Here is a 15,796-nt window from a genome sequence, read left to right on the forward strand (position 1 = left end):
CTTGCCCTTGCCTGCAAAGCCCCGACTCTGACATCCTGCAGAGAATACCCAATTGCAGGCTCTTCGCGGGGGACGCGGGCTCGGCAGCAGCGGAGCTTCTCCCGGTGCAGAATCGCCAGCCCGGCCGAGGAAACGCCAAGCCCGAGAAACAGCCCTGTTCTGCCGCAGCCGCCGCAGTCCCCGAGAGCCTGAGGAGCCCCCAGGAAAAACTGGGGCGAGGGGAGGGTGAGCCAGCAAACGCTGGTGGGAGAGGGGGAGACACTCACCCGCCCAGACAACAACCGATGGGGCGGGGAGGATGGGGGCCGGGACCGAGGCTCGGCAGAAAGACCGCCTGGAGCTTCCAGAAGGCTGCGGCTGCTCCGGACGCTGCTGCCACTGCCGTTTCTGGCCGCCGGCTTCCTCCCCCTCCTCTGTTTTGATTCGAGTGACCACGTCACTCTTAGCCACAAGACCCGGATCTGCCGGCTCCCGCGGGCGGCGGCGCAACAGATTGCAGCGCCTGGAGACTCCAGCTGCCCCGCCTGCCGAGCATGCGCATGCCCAGCGCCTGCCCTGTGCGTCCCGGGAAGCCGGGCGGGAGCCTGCGGCTTCGGACGCCTACGACACGCTGTGCGTGGGGGCGCGGAGTGCGGGGGATGTAGTTCCGGTTGGGAGGGGCGTGGCTGAGGACTGTGAAGCAATCGGGGCGAGGCCGGGTGTCTGTTCAACTCTCCCGCGTATCGTCTGTTTCTTCGGCGGCGGACAGTGTTCTGTAATGTGTCTCCCGTTGCCCGAGCTAAAGGTTTTCCTCGACGGAGTCTTTAGAATACCGTGGTAGAGGTAGACGCGGTTACAAATTGATGTCTGTTGAGACAGTCTACCCCTGTAAAGTGTTTTTGGTTACTCAGGCCCGGATGGAAATTGGAGATGGGGATTACAAAAATACATCAAATGTGGCTGTTATTGATTCCCTTTACCTTAACATTTTTGCACCGGAAACGACCAAAATTAAGTTCAACAGGAATATTAATAAAAGGAATATGTAGTCGGGCTTGGTGACTCATGCCTGTAATCCCAGCACTTCAGGAGGCAGAGGTGGGCGGATCACTTGAGGTCAGGAGTCCGAGACCAGCCTGGCCGACATGGTGAAACCCCATCTCCACTAAAAACACAAAAATTAGCCGGGCATGGTGGTGCCCGCTTGTAGTCCCAGCTACTCGGGAGGCTGAGGTGGAAGAATCGCTTGAACCCGGGAGGCGGAGGTTGCAGTGAGCCGAGATCGCGCCACTGCACTCCAGCCTGGGTGATAGTGAGACTTTGTCTCAAACTAAATAATTAAAGATATGTGACCAAAGATGACTTGCTGGTCAGGAGATAATGGGGAAGTAGGAGGGAATGCTGTGGCTAGGCAGCCAGCCAGCCCAAGTCTTAGTTGCTTTGGTTGTAGAGCTGGAATAAGAGTGCTGCTTTTACCCAATCTTCCTTTTAGAGCAAGTTGGTGCTTCCTATTCTCCCATTCTAGTCTCTGAGTCTCCCCGCTAAATTTTGGGGGCCCTGGAAATTTCCCAATTTGGCAAAATGCAGAACTATATTGTTTTCTTAGGTCCTTCAGTTGGCAAGCTTTAATTAAAATGGGACAAGTGGCGAAGTAAAAGTGAATCCCAAACAAAGATTTTACGAAAGTGCCTCTCTGCCAGTCTTGACGGAGAGGTGAAAGCTGCAAGCTTTCTTACTCAGATTTGATGACCTTTTCACTTACCCAGACTTCCACCTCAGCAATTTGGTTAATTACCCCTCGACAAGCTGAATCACCTTCCCCAAATAAGTATCATTTACAAGAGCTTTTTAATTAAAGTGGATATTGAACACAGGTAAAGGTTTCTAGAAAATTAAAGGTTTCTGGTAAAACTTGAAGTGTTTCCCAGTTAACTAATTGCAAAGTAGATACAAAGAATAAAGATTTTGGCCCTTAATCTGCAACCTTGAACTCTGCTTACTCAAATTCAGAGTTTGAGATGGAATCTGGTGCCCTAATGAGCTGACACTGTACCAAAGGGTCTTTAATTTGTGCAACTCCAAACAAAATCTGTTATGCTTGAGTGCACCCATGGGCACGTATGTGTTTGAGAACACAGCTGTGTTTAAGAGAACAGTATGGTACAAAACTAGAATTGTACTGGTTGTTGCAAAATTCTCAGTACTTGGTTTTGTTGTTGTTGTTTTTGTTGTTGTTGTTTTTGTTTGTTTTTGAGATGGAGTCTTGCTCTGTTGCCCAGGCTGGAGTGCAGTGGCTCGATCTCGGCTCACTGCAAGCTCCGCCTCCTGGGTTCACGCCATTCTCCTACCTCAGCCTCCCGAGTAGCTGGGACTACAGGCACCCGCCGCCACCACGCCTGGCTAATTTTTTGTATTTTTAGTAGAGACGGGGTTTCACCATGTTAGCCAGGATGGTCTCAAGCTCCTGACCTCGTGATCCGCCCGTCTCGGCCTCCCAAAGTGCTGGGATTACAGGCGTGAGCCACCGCGCCTGGCCTTTTTTTTTTTTTTTTTGAGATAGGGTCTTGCTCTGTTGCACAGGCTGGAATGCAGTGGTGCAATCATAGCTCACTACAGCCTCAAACTCCTGGGCTGAAGTGATCCTCCCATTTTAGCCTCCTGAATAACTAAGACTACAGACACATGCCACCACAGTGAGCTACTTTTTTTTTTAATTTGTTATAGGATCTTGCTATATTGTTGAGACTGGTCTTGAACTCCTGGTCTGAAGTGATCCTCCTGTTTCAGCCTCCCAAAGTGTTGGGGTTACAGGCATGGGTCACTGTGCACACCCAGTACTTGCTTTATAAAGTAAATTACAGGAAAACCAAGATGTTAGGATTAGCCTGGCGAGGTGCTGTATGCCTGTAGTCCCAGCTACTCAGGAGGCAGAGACAGGAGAATTGCCTGAACCCAGGAGTTAGAGGCTTTGAATAGCCACTGCACTCCAACCTGGGCAACATAGCAATACCTTGTCTCAGAAACAAACAAACAAAAAAGATGTTGGGATCCTTGGTAGCCAGCCTCTAAGAGGACCCCCAGTGATTGTCACCGCTGGTGGTCTGCATCAACCCTTTGAATCAGGACTACTATGTTTTACCAATAGAATACAATTGAATGTGTGTGACTTCTGAGGTTAGGTCACAAAGACACTGATTGCAGCTTTCCCTCTCATTCTCTTTGATTGCTTGCCCTGGAGGAAGGCAGTCTCCACACCACTGTGCTCGAACAGCTCTATGAAGAGGCCTATGTGGAGAGGAGAAAAAGCCTCCACCAACAGCCAGCACCAACTTGCCAGCCATGTGAGTGAACTAACTTGATTGATCCTGCAGCCCTAATCAAGCATTCAGATGACTGCATCCCTGCCCAACATTTGATTGCAAGTTTTTGAGAGCTAGAATAGGCTAGCTCTTACCCACAGACACTGATATGGGATATTATATGCTTTTTTGTTCTGATCTTTAAGAGCAGTTTTTTCTCCCTTTTTTGTTGTTTGTTTTTGTTTTTGTTTTTGAGTCGGAGTTTTGCTCTTGTTGCCCAGGCTGGAGTGCAATGGTGTGATCTCAGCTCACCACAACCTCCGCCTCCCAGGTTCAAGCAATTCTCCTGCCTCAGCCTCCCCAGTAGCTGGGATTACAGGCATGTACCACCACGCCCGGCTAATTTTGTATTTTTTAGTAGGGACAGGGTTTCTCCATGTTGAGGCTGGTCTCAAACTCCTGACCTCAGGTGATCCACCCGCCTCGGCCCCACAAAGTGCTTGGATTGCAGGCATGAGCCACTGCGCCAGGCTGTTTTTTTTTTTTTTGAGTCTTGCTCTGTTGCCCAGGCTGGAGTGCAGTGGTGCAATCTTGGCTCACTGCAACCTCCGCCTCCTGGATTCAAACGATTTCCTGCCTCAGCCTCCCTAGTAGCCGGGATTACAGGTGCATACCACCACACCTGGCTAATTTTTGTATTTTTAGTAGAGATGGGGTTTCACCGTGTTGGCCACGCTGGTCTCGAACTCTTGATCTCAGGTGATCCGCCTGCCTTGGCCTCCCAAAGTGCTGGGATTACAGGCGTGAGCCACTGTGCCCGGCCCCTAAGTGCAGTTTTTCTAAACTAAACAATGGAAGAACTAAAAAGTGTGTAATTCTATGTGTAAAGAATAACATAGAATTCCTACCATACAACCGAGAGCATAGTAAACATTGAATAAATATTTGTTGAATGGACACAGAATTAAAAAAGAAACACCAATTGGAGAATTTGGAACAAATACTGATAGTTAAAGGAGAAATACCATAATATATGAAGGGCTCATACAAATCAATAGGGAAAATTAATGCCTGCCACACATGCATAGGTATAAAGTATGAACTGATGGTTCACACACACAAAGGAAATACAAATGTTTGACATTTGAAAATCTTCCATCTCACTAGTAATCAAAAAATGCAAATTAAAATGATTTTCTTTTTTGGCTACTACATTAAGGAAATATATTTATTTATTTACTTATTTTAGAGATGGGGTCTTGCTCTGTCACCCAGGCTGGAGTGCAGTGGCTATTCACAGATGTGACCACAGTGCATTGCAACCTTGAACTCCTGGTCTTAAGCAATCCTCCTACCTCAGCGTCCTGAGTAGCTGGGACTACTGGCATGTGCCACCCAGCCTTTTTTTTTCTTTTAATAGACAGGAGTCTCACTATGTTGGCCAGGCTGGTCTCCAACTCCTAGCCTCAAGGGAAGTGCAAACTACTGCACCAGGCCTGGACAACATGGTGAAACCTTGTCTCTACAAAAAAAAAAAAAAAAATTAACCAGACATTGTGGTGGTGCCTATAGTCCCAGCTACTCAGGAGGCTGAGGTGGGAGGGGATGGCTTGAGTCCAGGAGGTAGAGGTTGCAGTGAGTCAAGATTGCGCCACTGTATTCCAGCCTGGGCGATAGAGCCAGACTTTATCTCAAAAAATTTTTCTTTTTTTCATATTTGAAAATAGAGCTAGGGTCTCACTATGTTGCCTAGACTGGTCTCAAACTCCTGGGCTCAAGTGATCCCACCGCCTTGGCCTCTCAAAGTGCTGGGATTATAGGCATGAACCACCACACCCAGCCTATTTTATTCTTTTTGATGATATTATAAATGGAATTGCTTGTTTTTTGTTTTTGAGACAGAGTCTCGCTCTGTCACCCAGGCTGGAGTGCTATGACACTATCTCAGCTCACTGCAACCTCTACCTCCCAGGTTCAATCAATTCTCATGCCTCAGCCTCCTGAGTACCTGGGACTACAGGTGCGCACCACCACCCCGGCTAATTTTTGTAATTTTAGTGGAGACAGGGTTTCACTATGGGCTTGAACACCAAGGTCTTGAACTCCTGGCCTCAAGTAATCCGCCCACGTCCACCTCCCAAAGTGTGGGATTACAGGCATTGAGCCACATCACCTGGTCACTTTCTTAATTTCCTTTTCAGAGTGTTCATTGTTAGTATGTAGAAATGCAGGCGATTTTTGAGTATTGCTTTTGTAGCCTGCAACTTGGCTGAATTTATTAGTTCTAAATTTTTTTTGGTGGATTAGTAGTAGGATCACACCAATGACTAGCCACTGCACTCCAACCTGGGCAACATAGCAAAACTCTGTCTCCTTAAAAAAAAAAAATCATTAAATAATTTGAAATTACAAATACCCTACAGCATATGGAGAAATGTTATGGACATATTGTTAAGGGGAAAAATGATACAACTTGCACACTATGACTACATCTGGGTAAAAAATATTTTGCAGGCGGGTGCGGTGGCTCATGCCTGTAATCCCAGCACTTTGGGAGGCCAAGGTAGGTGGATCACCTGAGGTCGGGAGTTCGAGACCAGCCTTACCAACATGGAGAAACCCCATCTCTACTAAAAATACAAAATTAGCCAAGCGTGGTGGCACATGCCTGTAATCCCAGCTACTCGGTAGGCTGAGGCAGGAGAATTACTTGAACCCGTGAGGCAGAATGGTGAGCTGAGATTGCACCACTGCACTCCAGCCTGGGCGACACAGCAAGACGCTGTCTCAAAAAAAAAAAAATGTATATATATATATGTATGTGTGTGTGTGTATATATATACACTATATATATATATACATTATATATATACATATTTTGCAGATGGATAAATGCTAAAGAAGGCAAGTGAAAATCGGTAATGAGATACATCTTCATTTTATCATGTTTTGGATTTTTTTTGTTTTGGTTTGGTTTTTTTATTTTTTTTGAGACAGGGTCTCACTCTATCACCAGGCTGGAGTGCAGTGGCTCAATCTCAGCTCACTGCAACCTCCACCTGCCAGGTTCAAGCGATTCTGCTGCCTCAGCCTCCCAAGTAGCTGGGACTACAGGCGTGCGCCACCACACCCAGCTAATTTTTTGTATTTTTAGTAGAGGCAGGGTTTCACCATGTTGTCCAGGATGGTCTGATCTCCTGACCTCGTGATCCGCCCATCTCGGCCTCCCAAAGTGCTGGGATTACAGGCATGAGCCACCGCGCCAGGCCAGTTTTTTTTTTTAAACTTTAAAGTTTGGGAGTACATGTGAAGGTTTGTTACATAGGAAACACATGTTACAGAGGTTTATTGTACATATTATTTAATCACCCAGGTTTTTTTGTTTGTTTTGGTTTTGGTTTTTTTTTTTGAGATGGAGTCTCACTCTGTCACACAGGCTGGAGTGCAGTGGTGCGATCTTGGCTTACTGCAACCTATGCTTCCTGGGTTCAAGCAATTCTCCTGCCTTAGCCAACCAGGTAGCTGGGATTACAGGTGTGCGCCACCATGCCTGGCTAATTTTTTTTGTATTTTTAGTAGAGACAGGGTTTCACCAGGCTGGTCTCGAACTCCTGACCTCAGGTGATCCGCCTGCCTCAGCCTCCCAAAATGCTGGGATTACAGGCGTGAGCCACCACGCCTGGCTCATCACCCAGATATTAAGTCTGGTACCCAATAGTTATCTTTTCTGATCCTCTCCCTCCTCCCACCCTCCCCTTGGAATTTTAAAAATATTTCAGTTGCTGAACTATAGTTGGAACTTAGCATATTAAGAATTATTGTGTTTTTAATAGTAATATTCTAAGGTATTGGTTATCATTCTTAAAATTAATCCCGTCTGTTCCAAAGAGTATATGAGACTGATGTTTTATCTCAGACCTAAAGGATTTTTGTTGTTGTTGTTTAGAGATGGAATCTTATTATGTTGTTCAGGCTGGACTCAAACTCCTGACCTCAGGTTATCTGCTCATCTTGGCCCCCCAAAGTGCTGGGACTACAGGCATGAGCCACTGCACCCGGCCACAAGATTTTATACATTCATTTTTTTTGCTGTATAGTAATAGACAATATTGTTTATCAACCTTTTAGAAAGTAATAAAATTAAACTAAACCAGTAATAGAATAATTTTCAAGCTTTTTTATAATAGAAATTGAAGGGCCAGGCGCGGTGGCTCACGCCTGTAATCCCAGCACTTTGGGAGGCCGAGGCAGGCAGATCACAAGGTCAAGAGAGGGAGACCATCCTGGCCAACATGGTGAAACTCGTCTCTACTGAAAATACAAAAATTAGCTAGGTGTGGTGACGGGCATCTATAGTCCCAGCTACTCGGGAGGCTGAAGCAAGAGAATCGCTTGAACCCAGGAGGCGGAGGTTGCAGTGAGCAGAGATCACACCACTGCACTCCAGCCTGGTGACAGTGAGAGTCCATCTCAAAAAAAAAAAAAGAAAGAAAGATAACATAATCTTTAAATTTTTGCCTTTTATAGCCATATCCCTAATTTCCTTATTTTATTTTATTTTTTATTTTTATATAAGAGAGACAGGGCCTCACTATGTTGCCCAGACTGGTCTCGAATTCGTAGGCTCAAGCAATCCTCCCTCCTCAGCCCCACAAAGTGCTGGGATTACAGGCATAAACCACCTTGCCCAGCTCCAGATCCCTAATTTCTACCTCTTTTATTTAAACTAAATCTTATTGCTCAGACTTTCCCTCCATTACACATTAATGGACCTGAACCTAAACAGTCGTTTGTAGACCACTGAACAAGCTTGGAAACAGTCATCAACTCAGTGGTGATAAGCACCCCAATCACCCTGATTATGGTCTCTGAAGATGATTTCCCACTGAACTCCTTGCAAGCTTAGGGAAGGAAATGTTCCACATGGGCCCAAAACATTTTGTTATACCATGAAGCTATCAAAGCTATCAAGATCATGTTAAAAGGACATAAGGTCCAACTTGAAGCGTCTCACATTGACCAATGATATGTCAATTTGAGAATCAAAAAGCAGAATAACTTTTGGCCAGGCTTGGTGGCTCACGCCTGTAATCTCAACACTTTGGGAGGCTGAGGCAGAAGAATTGCTTCAGTCCAGAAGTTCAAGACTAGCCTGGGCAACATAGTGAGACTCCATCTCTACCAAAGAATACAAAAATTAGCCAGGTGTGATGGTGTGCTCCTGTAGTCCCAGCACTTTCGGAGGCTGAGGTGGGAGTATTGCTTGAACCCAGGAGTTGAAGGCTGCAGTGAGCTGTTTTTTTTTTTTTTTTTTGGGACGGGGTTTCGCTCTTTGTTGCCCAGGCTGGAGTGCAATGGCGCAATCTCGGCTCACCGCAGCCTCCGCCTCCTGGGTTCAAGTGATTCTTCTGCCTCAGCCTCCCTAGTAGCTGGGATTACAGGCATGCGCCACCATGCCCAGCTAATTTTGTATTTTTAGTGGAGACGGGGTTTCTCCATGTTGGTCAGGCTGGTCTCGAACTCCCGACCTCAGGTCATCTGCCCGCCTCGGCCTCCCAAAGTGCTGGGATTACAGGCACAAGCCACTGCGCCTGGCCTGCAGTGAGCTATTATCACACCACTGCACTCCAGCTTGGGCGACAGAGTGAGGCCCTGTTTAAAAAAAAAAAAAAAAAAAAAAAGACATGAGATTTTTCAGGTTTAAAAAAAAAAAGCAGACAAAATAATTTTTTTGGATTGCAACATATCTTATATATTAAACTCTGTGTGTTCCTAATATTAAAACATTTCAAAAACTTTTTTGGTTGCCTTTGTGAGGGACCAGGGAACAAACCCATTCTGAAATTTAAATACATGTAAACAATCAAGTATTTGTCCTGACTTTCCTGTATTAACTACACCCCAGAATAAATAGTTGGTAAAGGAAAGTAATTCCAGCTTAAAAATAAAGAAGAAATGACAGAGTTTGAATGTCATCATTTTGCAACCCCTAATGAAATAATGGATCCAGACAATGGTTATCAATGACTGCAAACCACTTACATAAAAAGCTGATGGGGGCTGGGCGCAGTGGCTCACGCCTGTAATCCCAGCACTTTGGGAGGCCGAGGTGGGTGGATCACTTGAGGTCAGGTGTTCGAGACCAGCCTGAGCAACCTGGTGAAACCCCATCTCCACTAAAAATACAAAAATTAGCCGGGTGTGGTGGCACATGCCTGTAGTCCCAGTTACTCGGGAGGCAGAAGCAGGAGAATCGCTTGAATCCAGGAGGTGGAGGTTTCAGTGAGCCAAGATCGCACCACTGCACTCCAGACTAGGTGATGGAGTGAGACTCTGGAGGGGTTTTTTGTTGTTGTTGTTTTTTTTTTCTGAGACTTCATCTCAAAAAAAAAAAGACATATCTTACACCAGGCATGGTGTCATGCACCTGTAGTCCAAGCTACTTGGGAGGGTGATGTGGGAGGATGGCTTGAGCACAGGAGTTTGAGACCAACCTGGACTACATAGCAAGATCCCCATCTCTAAAAAAATAAATAAAAATTTAAAAACAACGTCTTACTTTTCTTGTATATTTTGTGTGCATTATTGTTTTCCTCATTTTTAGTTTGTTTTATTTGGGACAGTCTTGCTCTGTCACCCGGGCTGGAGTGCAGTGGCGCAATCATAGCTCACTATAACCTTGAACTCCTGGGCTCAAATGATCCTCCTGCCTCAGCTTTCCAAGTAGCTAGGACTACAGGCATGTGCCACTATGCCCAGCTAACTAAAACAAATTTTGTAGGGATGAGGTCTCACTGTGTTGCTCAGACTAGTCTTGAACTCTTGGTCTCAAGTGATTCTCCTACCTCAGCTTCCCAAAGTGCTGGGATTACTGGCATAAGCCACTACATCCAGCCCTATTTCTAGTAGTTTTATTTACATATATTATAATTTTTAAACACTCAGTAACCTTAGTGAAACTGCCTTTGCAAAGATTATGACAGAGAAGTCTAACATGGTTGACTCCATCTTGTTGCTATCCTTGCTGGCTATCTTTGCTCATTCCTGGGCAAAAGCCAAGCTACCCATGGTAGGAATTTAGTTTATAATTTAACATGGATGTCCAGATCTCTATCACTCAGGATTACATAAAGCTGTACCCTCAGGCAACATGGCCCTAACTGGGCCACAGGAACCCCTTGTCAGGTTGCTGGTTTGGCTGGCTGCTTGGCAGGAACCATGGAGGGGGAGCACCAGGAGTGTGGAGCCCGCCTGGTGGCACTGCTGTTGCAGCAGTTTCAGTGGGCCTCCAGTCTCCTCAGGTGCCAACTGGTTCTTTGGCTCTGGGTGAAGAGGGTGCCTGCTTCTTTTGTGGGCACCCTGGGCATATCAAGAGGCGCTGCTATGGATGTCAGCCATGGCTGCAGTTGAATCTTGGTGAGGCTTGTCCACCTGGACCTTTAGAGTGGCTGTGGAGCTGCCCTGGGGAAATTCTGCGGACATTTCTTGTACTCGGAGCTGGTCCTTTGGGAGAGCTGGAGGTTGCTGTTGCTGATGAGACTGTGCAGTTTTAGAGGTGGCTGACAACCACTGTTTGTGGCAGATGGTCATTGCCACAGGGGGCTGCTCCTTTCCTTGTGCATTTGTTTAAGAAGAGCGCTCTTCATGGCAGGTGTGCTGTGAAGGCACTGTGCAGCCTAGTGTCGTGGCATTTCCCTCTTTTGGGGGACTTGGGATTCAGTATAAAGTCCTTGATTTTTAAAGGCCTGGATGTTCTGCCTTCCAACTTTGACTATTTTTCACATATTTGGATAGTTGGGCCCTAAAAGCTGCAAGTACTTAATTGGCCCTGTTCCTTAATGGGCTCTGTCTGGAGCTCAGTGGTCCAGTTGGAGAAACAGGCTAAATTAAAAGCTATTTATCTAAATGAAGTTGGTCTCCTTGTAGAGTCCTGTGGTGAATTTCTGTGATTTGTGTTGCCTTGGTGTCCTTTCTTAGTCTTCCACTAGCACAGCCAGACTCCTTCTTGAAGACACTTGGATTCTTTCTCTCTCTCTGCTTTGAGATGTGGATTGTGGCTGGGCATGATGGCTCATGCCTATAAATCCAGCATTTTGGGAGGCTGAGGTAGAAGGATCACTTGAGGCCAGGAATTCAAGACCAGACTGGGCAACAGAGTGAGACCTTGTCTTTACAAAATAATAATAATAATAAAAAGAAGAGATGTGGATTGCTATTCTGATTTCTCTGGGGCTCATTGAGGACTTGGGCTGTGTGGGACAAGTGAACTTTGACTTGTTATATTTGCAGGGGCATAGTTTGAATCCAACTGTCCTTTTGGACTAGTGAGTTTTGCCAGTCTCATGGCTAGAGTTTTGAAATCAAGGCTGTAGAGTCTTCGTTTGCATCTGTTTGTATCCTTTTTTTTTTCCCCTCATGCAGGACACAACTGTCTGTATCTTTATGTGTATATCTGTTTGTATATTGTCTATGGTACCAAATGGGCTTATAAATAAAGAAGTCCTCGTTAATTAAGCAAATAAGCCCAAATGCTTTTCAAGTGTGATTTTAGCAATCTCTGGTAAATAAACATTGTTTTGTATTCTCTTTATTTTAAAAACATTTTTATTTATTTACTTTTTTATAGATATGAACTCTCGCTATGTTGCCTCGGCTGGTCTCAAACTCCTGGGCTCAAGTGATCCTCCCACTTCGGCCTCCCAAAGTCAGTAAATATAGTTTTTAAATTGTTGGTAAAATAAAATAAAAACATATTCAAATTTTAATTCAGGTATTTTTTGCCTGGCTCTATTGTTTAGGTAGGTTTATGCTGTCACTGCTAGATGTTTTAATGCCATAAAACTGTTGCTTCTATGATATTTTTGATACTTGCTTATGAAGACATGAAAGTGTGGTTTTTGTTAAAGGGAAGATAATTTTGTATGATTTAGAGGTGGGATTTTTGTTTGTTTGTTTTTTGTTTTTTTTGGGTTTTGTTTGCGATGGAGTCTCACTCTGTCACCCAGGCTGGAGTGCAGTGGTGTGATCTTGGCTCACTGCAACCTCTGCCTCCCACGTTCAAGCAATTCTCCTGCCTCAGCCTCCCAAGTAACTGGGGTTACAGGCGCATGCCACCATGCCCAGTTAATTTTTGTATTTTTAGTAGAGACAGGGTTTTACCATGTTGGTCAGGCTGGTCTCTAACTCCTGACCTCAAGTGATCCACCAGCCTCAGCCTCCCAAAGAGCTAGGATTACAGGTGTGAGCCACTGTGCCCAGCCAGTTTAGAGGTTTTTAGAAGTTGTTTTAAAATTGAAAGAAAATATGATAAGACTAAATAGATCTAAAAGTTGGGGAAAGACAAAAATAGTCAAAAATTTGTAAGAGGGTATAAATAAACCAACTGCTAAAAAATTTTTGAGGAAGTTGAGGAAATATGAACACTGACCAGGTATTTACTGGTGTTAAAGAAAGATTGTTTTTGAAAAAGATGATAGCTTTGTGACTTTTTAACTTCTTTTTTTTTTTTTTCTCAGATGGCGTCTTGCTCTGTCACCCAGGCTGGGGTGCAGTGGTGTGATCTCAGCTCACTGCAACCTCTGCCTCCTGGGTTCAAGCAATTCTTCTGCCTCAGCCTCCCAAAGAGCTGTGATTACAGACGTGTGCCACAATACCCGGCTAAGTTTTGTATTTTTATTATTATTTTATTTATGTGTTTATTTATTTATTTATTTATTTATTTTGAGATGGAGTCTTGCTGTGTCGCCCAGGGTGGAGTGCAGTGGTGCGATCTCTGCTCGCTGCAGCCTCTGCCCCCCAGGCGATTCTCCTGCCTCAGCCTCCCGAGTAGCTGGGATTACAGGTGCCCGCCACCATACCCGGCTAATTTTTGTATTTTTAGTAAAGACAGGGTTTTGCCATGTTGGCCAGGCTGATCTCGAACTCCTGACCTCAAGTGATCTGTCTGCCTTGGCCTCCCAAGGCAGGGAGCCTGCTGGGATTACAGGCATGAGCCACCACGCCCAGTCAAAATGTTTTAAATGTTTCTATACCACCATCTGTGTCAAAGAGCAAATGGTCTCTCTGCAGCTGGAACAACAAAAACTCAAATGGTCCACACAGTGGTTCATACCTATAAGTCACCAAACCTAAACTAAGTTGTTATCTGACCTTCTGGAAATGAGAAGAGATAGATAACTGCCAGTTTCCCAAACAGGCCAGTTTAAATCTTCCTGTAAGCATGATAAGGAAGTTCCCTCTGATTTAATCCTTACACACGAAAAAGTAGCCTTAAATAACCTGATATTAACTCATCAGTTTTATTTTTATTTATTTATTTTTTTTTGAGACAATGTCTTGCTCTGTCACCCAGGCTGGAGTGCAGTGGCACAATCTCGGCTCACTGCAATCTCCGCCTCCCGGGTTCACGCCATTCTCCTGCCTCAGCCTCCCGAGTAGCTGGGACTACAGGTGCCTGCCACCACACCCGGCTAATTTTTGTATTCTTAGTAGAGATGGGGTTTCACCGTGTTAGCCAGGATGGTCTCGATCTCCTGACCTTGTGATCCACCCCCCTCGGCCTCCCAAAGTGCTGGGATTACAGGTGTGAGCCACCGCGCCTGGCCACTCATCAGTTATTTTTCTATCATTTTGTCTTTCTGTCCCCACTTTACAAGAAAAGTGACTTTGAAAGGACTAATAACATTATTCGTTTTTTGCTTCTGCTTTCTTCAGCCCTTCTCTGTCTGTAAAGCCAGCTTCTTTTGCACAGCTCACTGCAACACTTATTTTTATTTGTATTTTTATTTTTTGAGACAATGTCTCACTCTGTCACCCGGGCTGGAGAGTGGAGAGTACTAATGCAGTCTTGGCCCACTGCACCTTCACCCTCCTCAACTCAAGCAATCTTCCTGCCTCAACTTCCCTGGCAGCCAGGACTACAGGCTTGCACCACTATACCCAGCTAATTTTTAAAATTTTTTTTTTTGTAGAGACAGGGTCTTGCTATGTGGGCCAGACTGGTCTCAAACTCCTGGCCTCAAGGGATCCTTCTTCCTTGGCCTGCCAAAGTGCTGGGATAGAATAAGTGTGCCGGGGCCACCATGCCCAGGCCACCACACCTGGCCCACTTATTCTATTTTATGGAATGAAGTGTTACCCAATTCTGGCTTTTTTTGAGACAGGGTCGTGCACCGTTGCTCAGGCGGGAATGCAGTGGCACGATCTTGGAACACTCCAACCTCCACCTCCAAGGCTCAAGCCATCTTCCCACCTCAGCCTCCCGAGTAGCTGGGGCCACAGGCGTGTGCCACCACATCCAGCTAATTTTTGTATTTTTTGTAGAGATGGGGTTTTGCCATGTTGCCCAGGCTGGTTTGGTCTCAAACTCCTGGTCTCAAGCCATCCACCCACCTTGGTCTCCCAAAGTGCTGGGATTACAGATGTGAACCAACATGTCCAGCCTTTTTTTTTTTTTGAGACAAATTCTGGCTCTGTCACCCAGACTGGAGTGCAGTGGTGCCATCTTGGCTCACTGCAACCTCCACCTCCGAGGCTCAAGCAATTCTCTCACCCCAGCCTCCTGAGTAGCTAGGACCACAGGTGCTCACCACCACGCCTGGTTAACTTTTGTGTTTTTTGTAGAGATGGGGTTTTGCCATGTTTCCTATGCTGGTCTGGAACTCATGAACTCAACAGATTGTCCCACCTCAGCCTCTCAAAGTGCTGGGATTACAGGTATGAGCCACCACACTCAGCCTGCCCAATTCTAGAACTGCAATAAAGTCAGTTGAGATCTTTGCATTTGTTGTAATTTGTCCTTTGACCGGGATGATACAGGAACTTGAATACAAGACTTTCCTAGTTTACTACAAGTTTATTTTTCAATGCTAACTCAGTAGTCACTGGACTGGGTCTGTAATTAAGGGTCCCAGAGGTTTGATAGTATTCTAAAACAATGTACCATATGTATTCATTTGAACCTAACTGCAAAAATCCTAAAGGGCTTGATGAGACAGATTATTCCTTCCCCAGTCTTGCAGAGTTGGAGCTAACTGTGCAAATGTTTTGTTGCCTAGTGGAGAGGATAGCTGCATTTTCTCCACTTATCCAATTTGCCTTCTATGATTAATAATGGACTAGAAGGGAAGTCAGTGTGTATCTCATCTTACTACCAGACATATGGACTAGTCCAGTGGCTGAGCCAGAGGGACCTACTTAGGGGAAAATGTTCAGATTAAAATTAATGATTAAGGAAAGAAAGGTGAAATTGTTGCTGAAGGGAAAGTCAATAAATGTGTTGTATAAAAGGAAAAAACTAACAATTTTGGTGAGGCATAAAGAGAGGCTTAGAACAAGAGAATAGTCTTAGCTTGGACTCACATGTTTGTTGGGGAGAAGAACTCTAGCAAAACAACTTCTTTTGAAGAGCCAAGAAGTAAGCTGAATGAAAACAGCAAAAATTATCAGGAGTAGTCTATATTTTCAATATGAATGAAAAAAGGGGAGCTCCAACTATGACTATAGAAAATGCTAATGTG

General features: G+C 45.2%; 1 protein-coding gene and 1 long non-coding RNA gene across 15 annotated transcripts in view, besides 2 other annotated features; one reads left to right on the plus strand and one right to left on the minus strand.

Moving 5' to 3' along the window:
* Positions 1-393, minus strand: part of SMIM14 (small integral membrane protein 14) — a 92,530-nt gene extending 92,137 nt beyond the window's left edge. For 3 of the 4 annotated variants that reach the window (NM_174921.3, XM_047449746.1, NM_001317896.2), the window contains exon 1: positions 267-393. Coding sequence is in view for 1 of the 4 variants with exons in the window: in XM_047449743.1 (XP_047305699.1) it covers positions 1-34 (34 nt within the window). In the remaining 3 variants the exon portion in view is untranslated. The other variant, XM_047449743.1, reaches the window with a different exon arrangement.
* Positions 335-1,052: an enhancer, noted in NCBI's record as "NANOG-H3K27ac-H3K4me1 hESC enhancer chr4:39640427-39641144 (GRCh37/hg19 assembly coordinates)". NCBI's record gives its function as "activates a minimal SCP1, AML or CMV promoter by ChIP-STARR-seq in primed H9 embryonic stem cells {active_cell/tissue: H9 hESC(primed)}" and the evidence as "EXISTENCE:reporter gene assay evidence [ECO:0000049][PMID:30033119]".
* Positions 668-15,796, plus strand: part of SMIM14-DT (SMIM14 divergent transcript) — a 27,525-nt gene continuing 12,396 nt past the window's right edge. For 2 of the 11 annotated variants that reach the window (NR_183845.1, NR_183842.1), the window contains exons 1-4: positions 668-822; positions 3,222-3,320; positions 11,905-11,982; positions 12,794-14,993. This is a non-coding gene — a long non-coding RNA (SMIM14 divergent transcript). Of the gene's footprint in view, positions 823-3,217; positions 3,321-11,904; positions 12,044-12,793; positions 15,060-15,796 lie in introns of those variants that run through there. The other 9 variants (NR_183843.1, NR_183847.1, NR_183848.1 and 6 more) reach the window with 9 other exon arrangements.
* Positions 2,824-3,419: an enhancer, noted in NCBI's record as "OCT4-NANOG hESC enhancer chr4:39642916-39643511 (GRCh37/hg19 assembly coordinates)". NCBI's record gives its function as "activates a minimal SCP1, AML or CMV promoter by ChIP-STARR-seq in naive H9 embryonic stem cells {active_cell/tissue: H9 hESC(naive)}" and the evidence as "EXISTENCE:reporter gene assay evidence [ECO:0000049][PMID:30033119]".

The sequence above is a fragment of the Homo sapiens genome, chromosome 4 (genome assembly GCF_000001405.40).
Source record: "Homo sapiens chromosome 4, GRCh38.p14 Primary Assembly".
NCBI classification, from domain to species: Eukaryota; Metazoa; Chordata; class Mammalia; order Primates; family Hominidae; genus Homo; species Homo sapiens.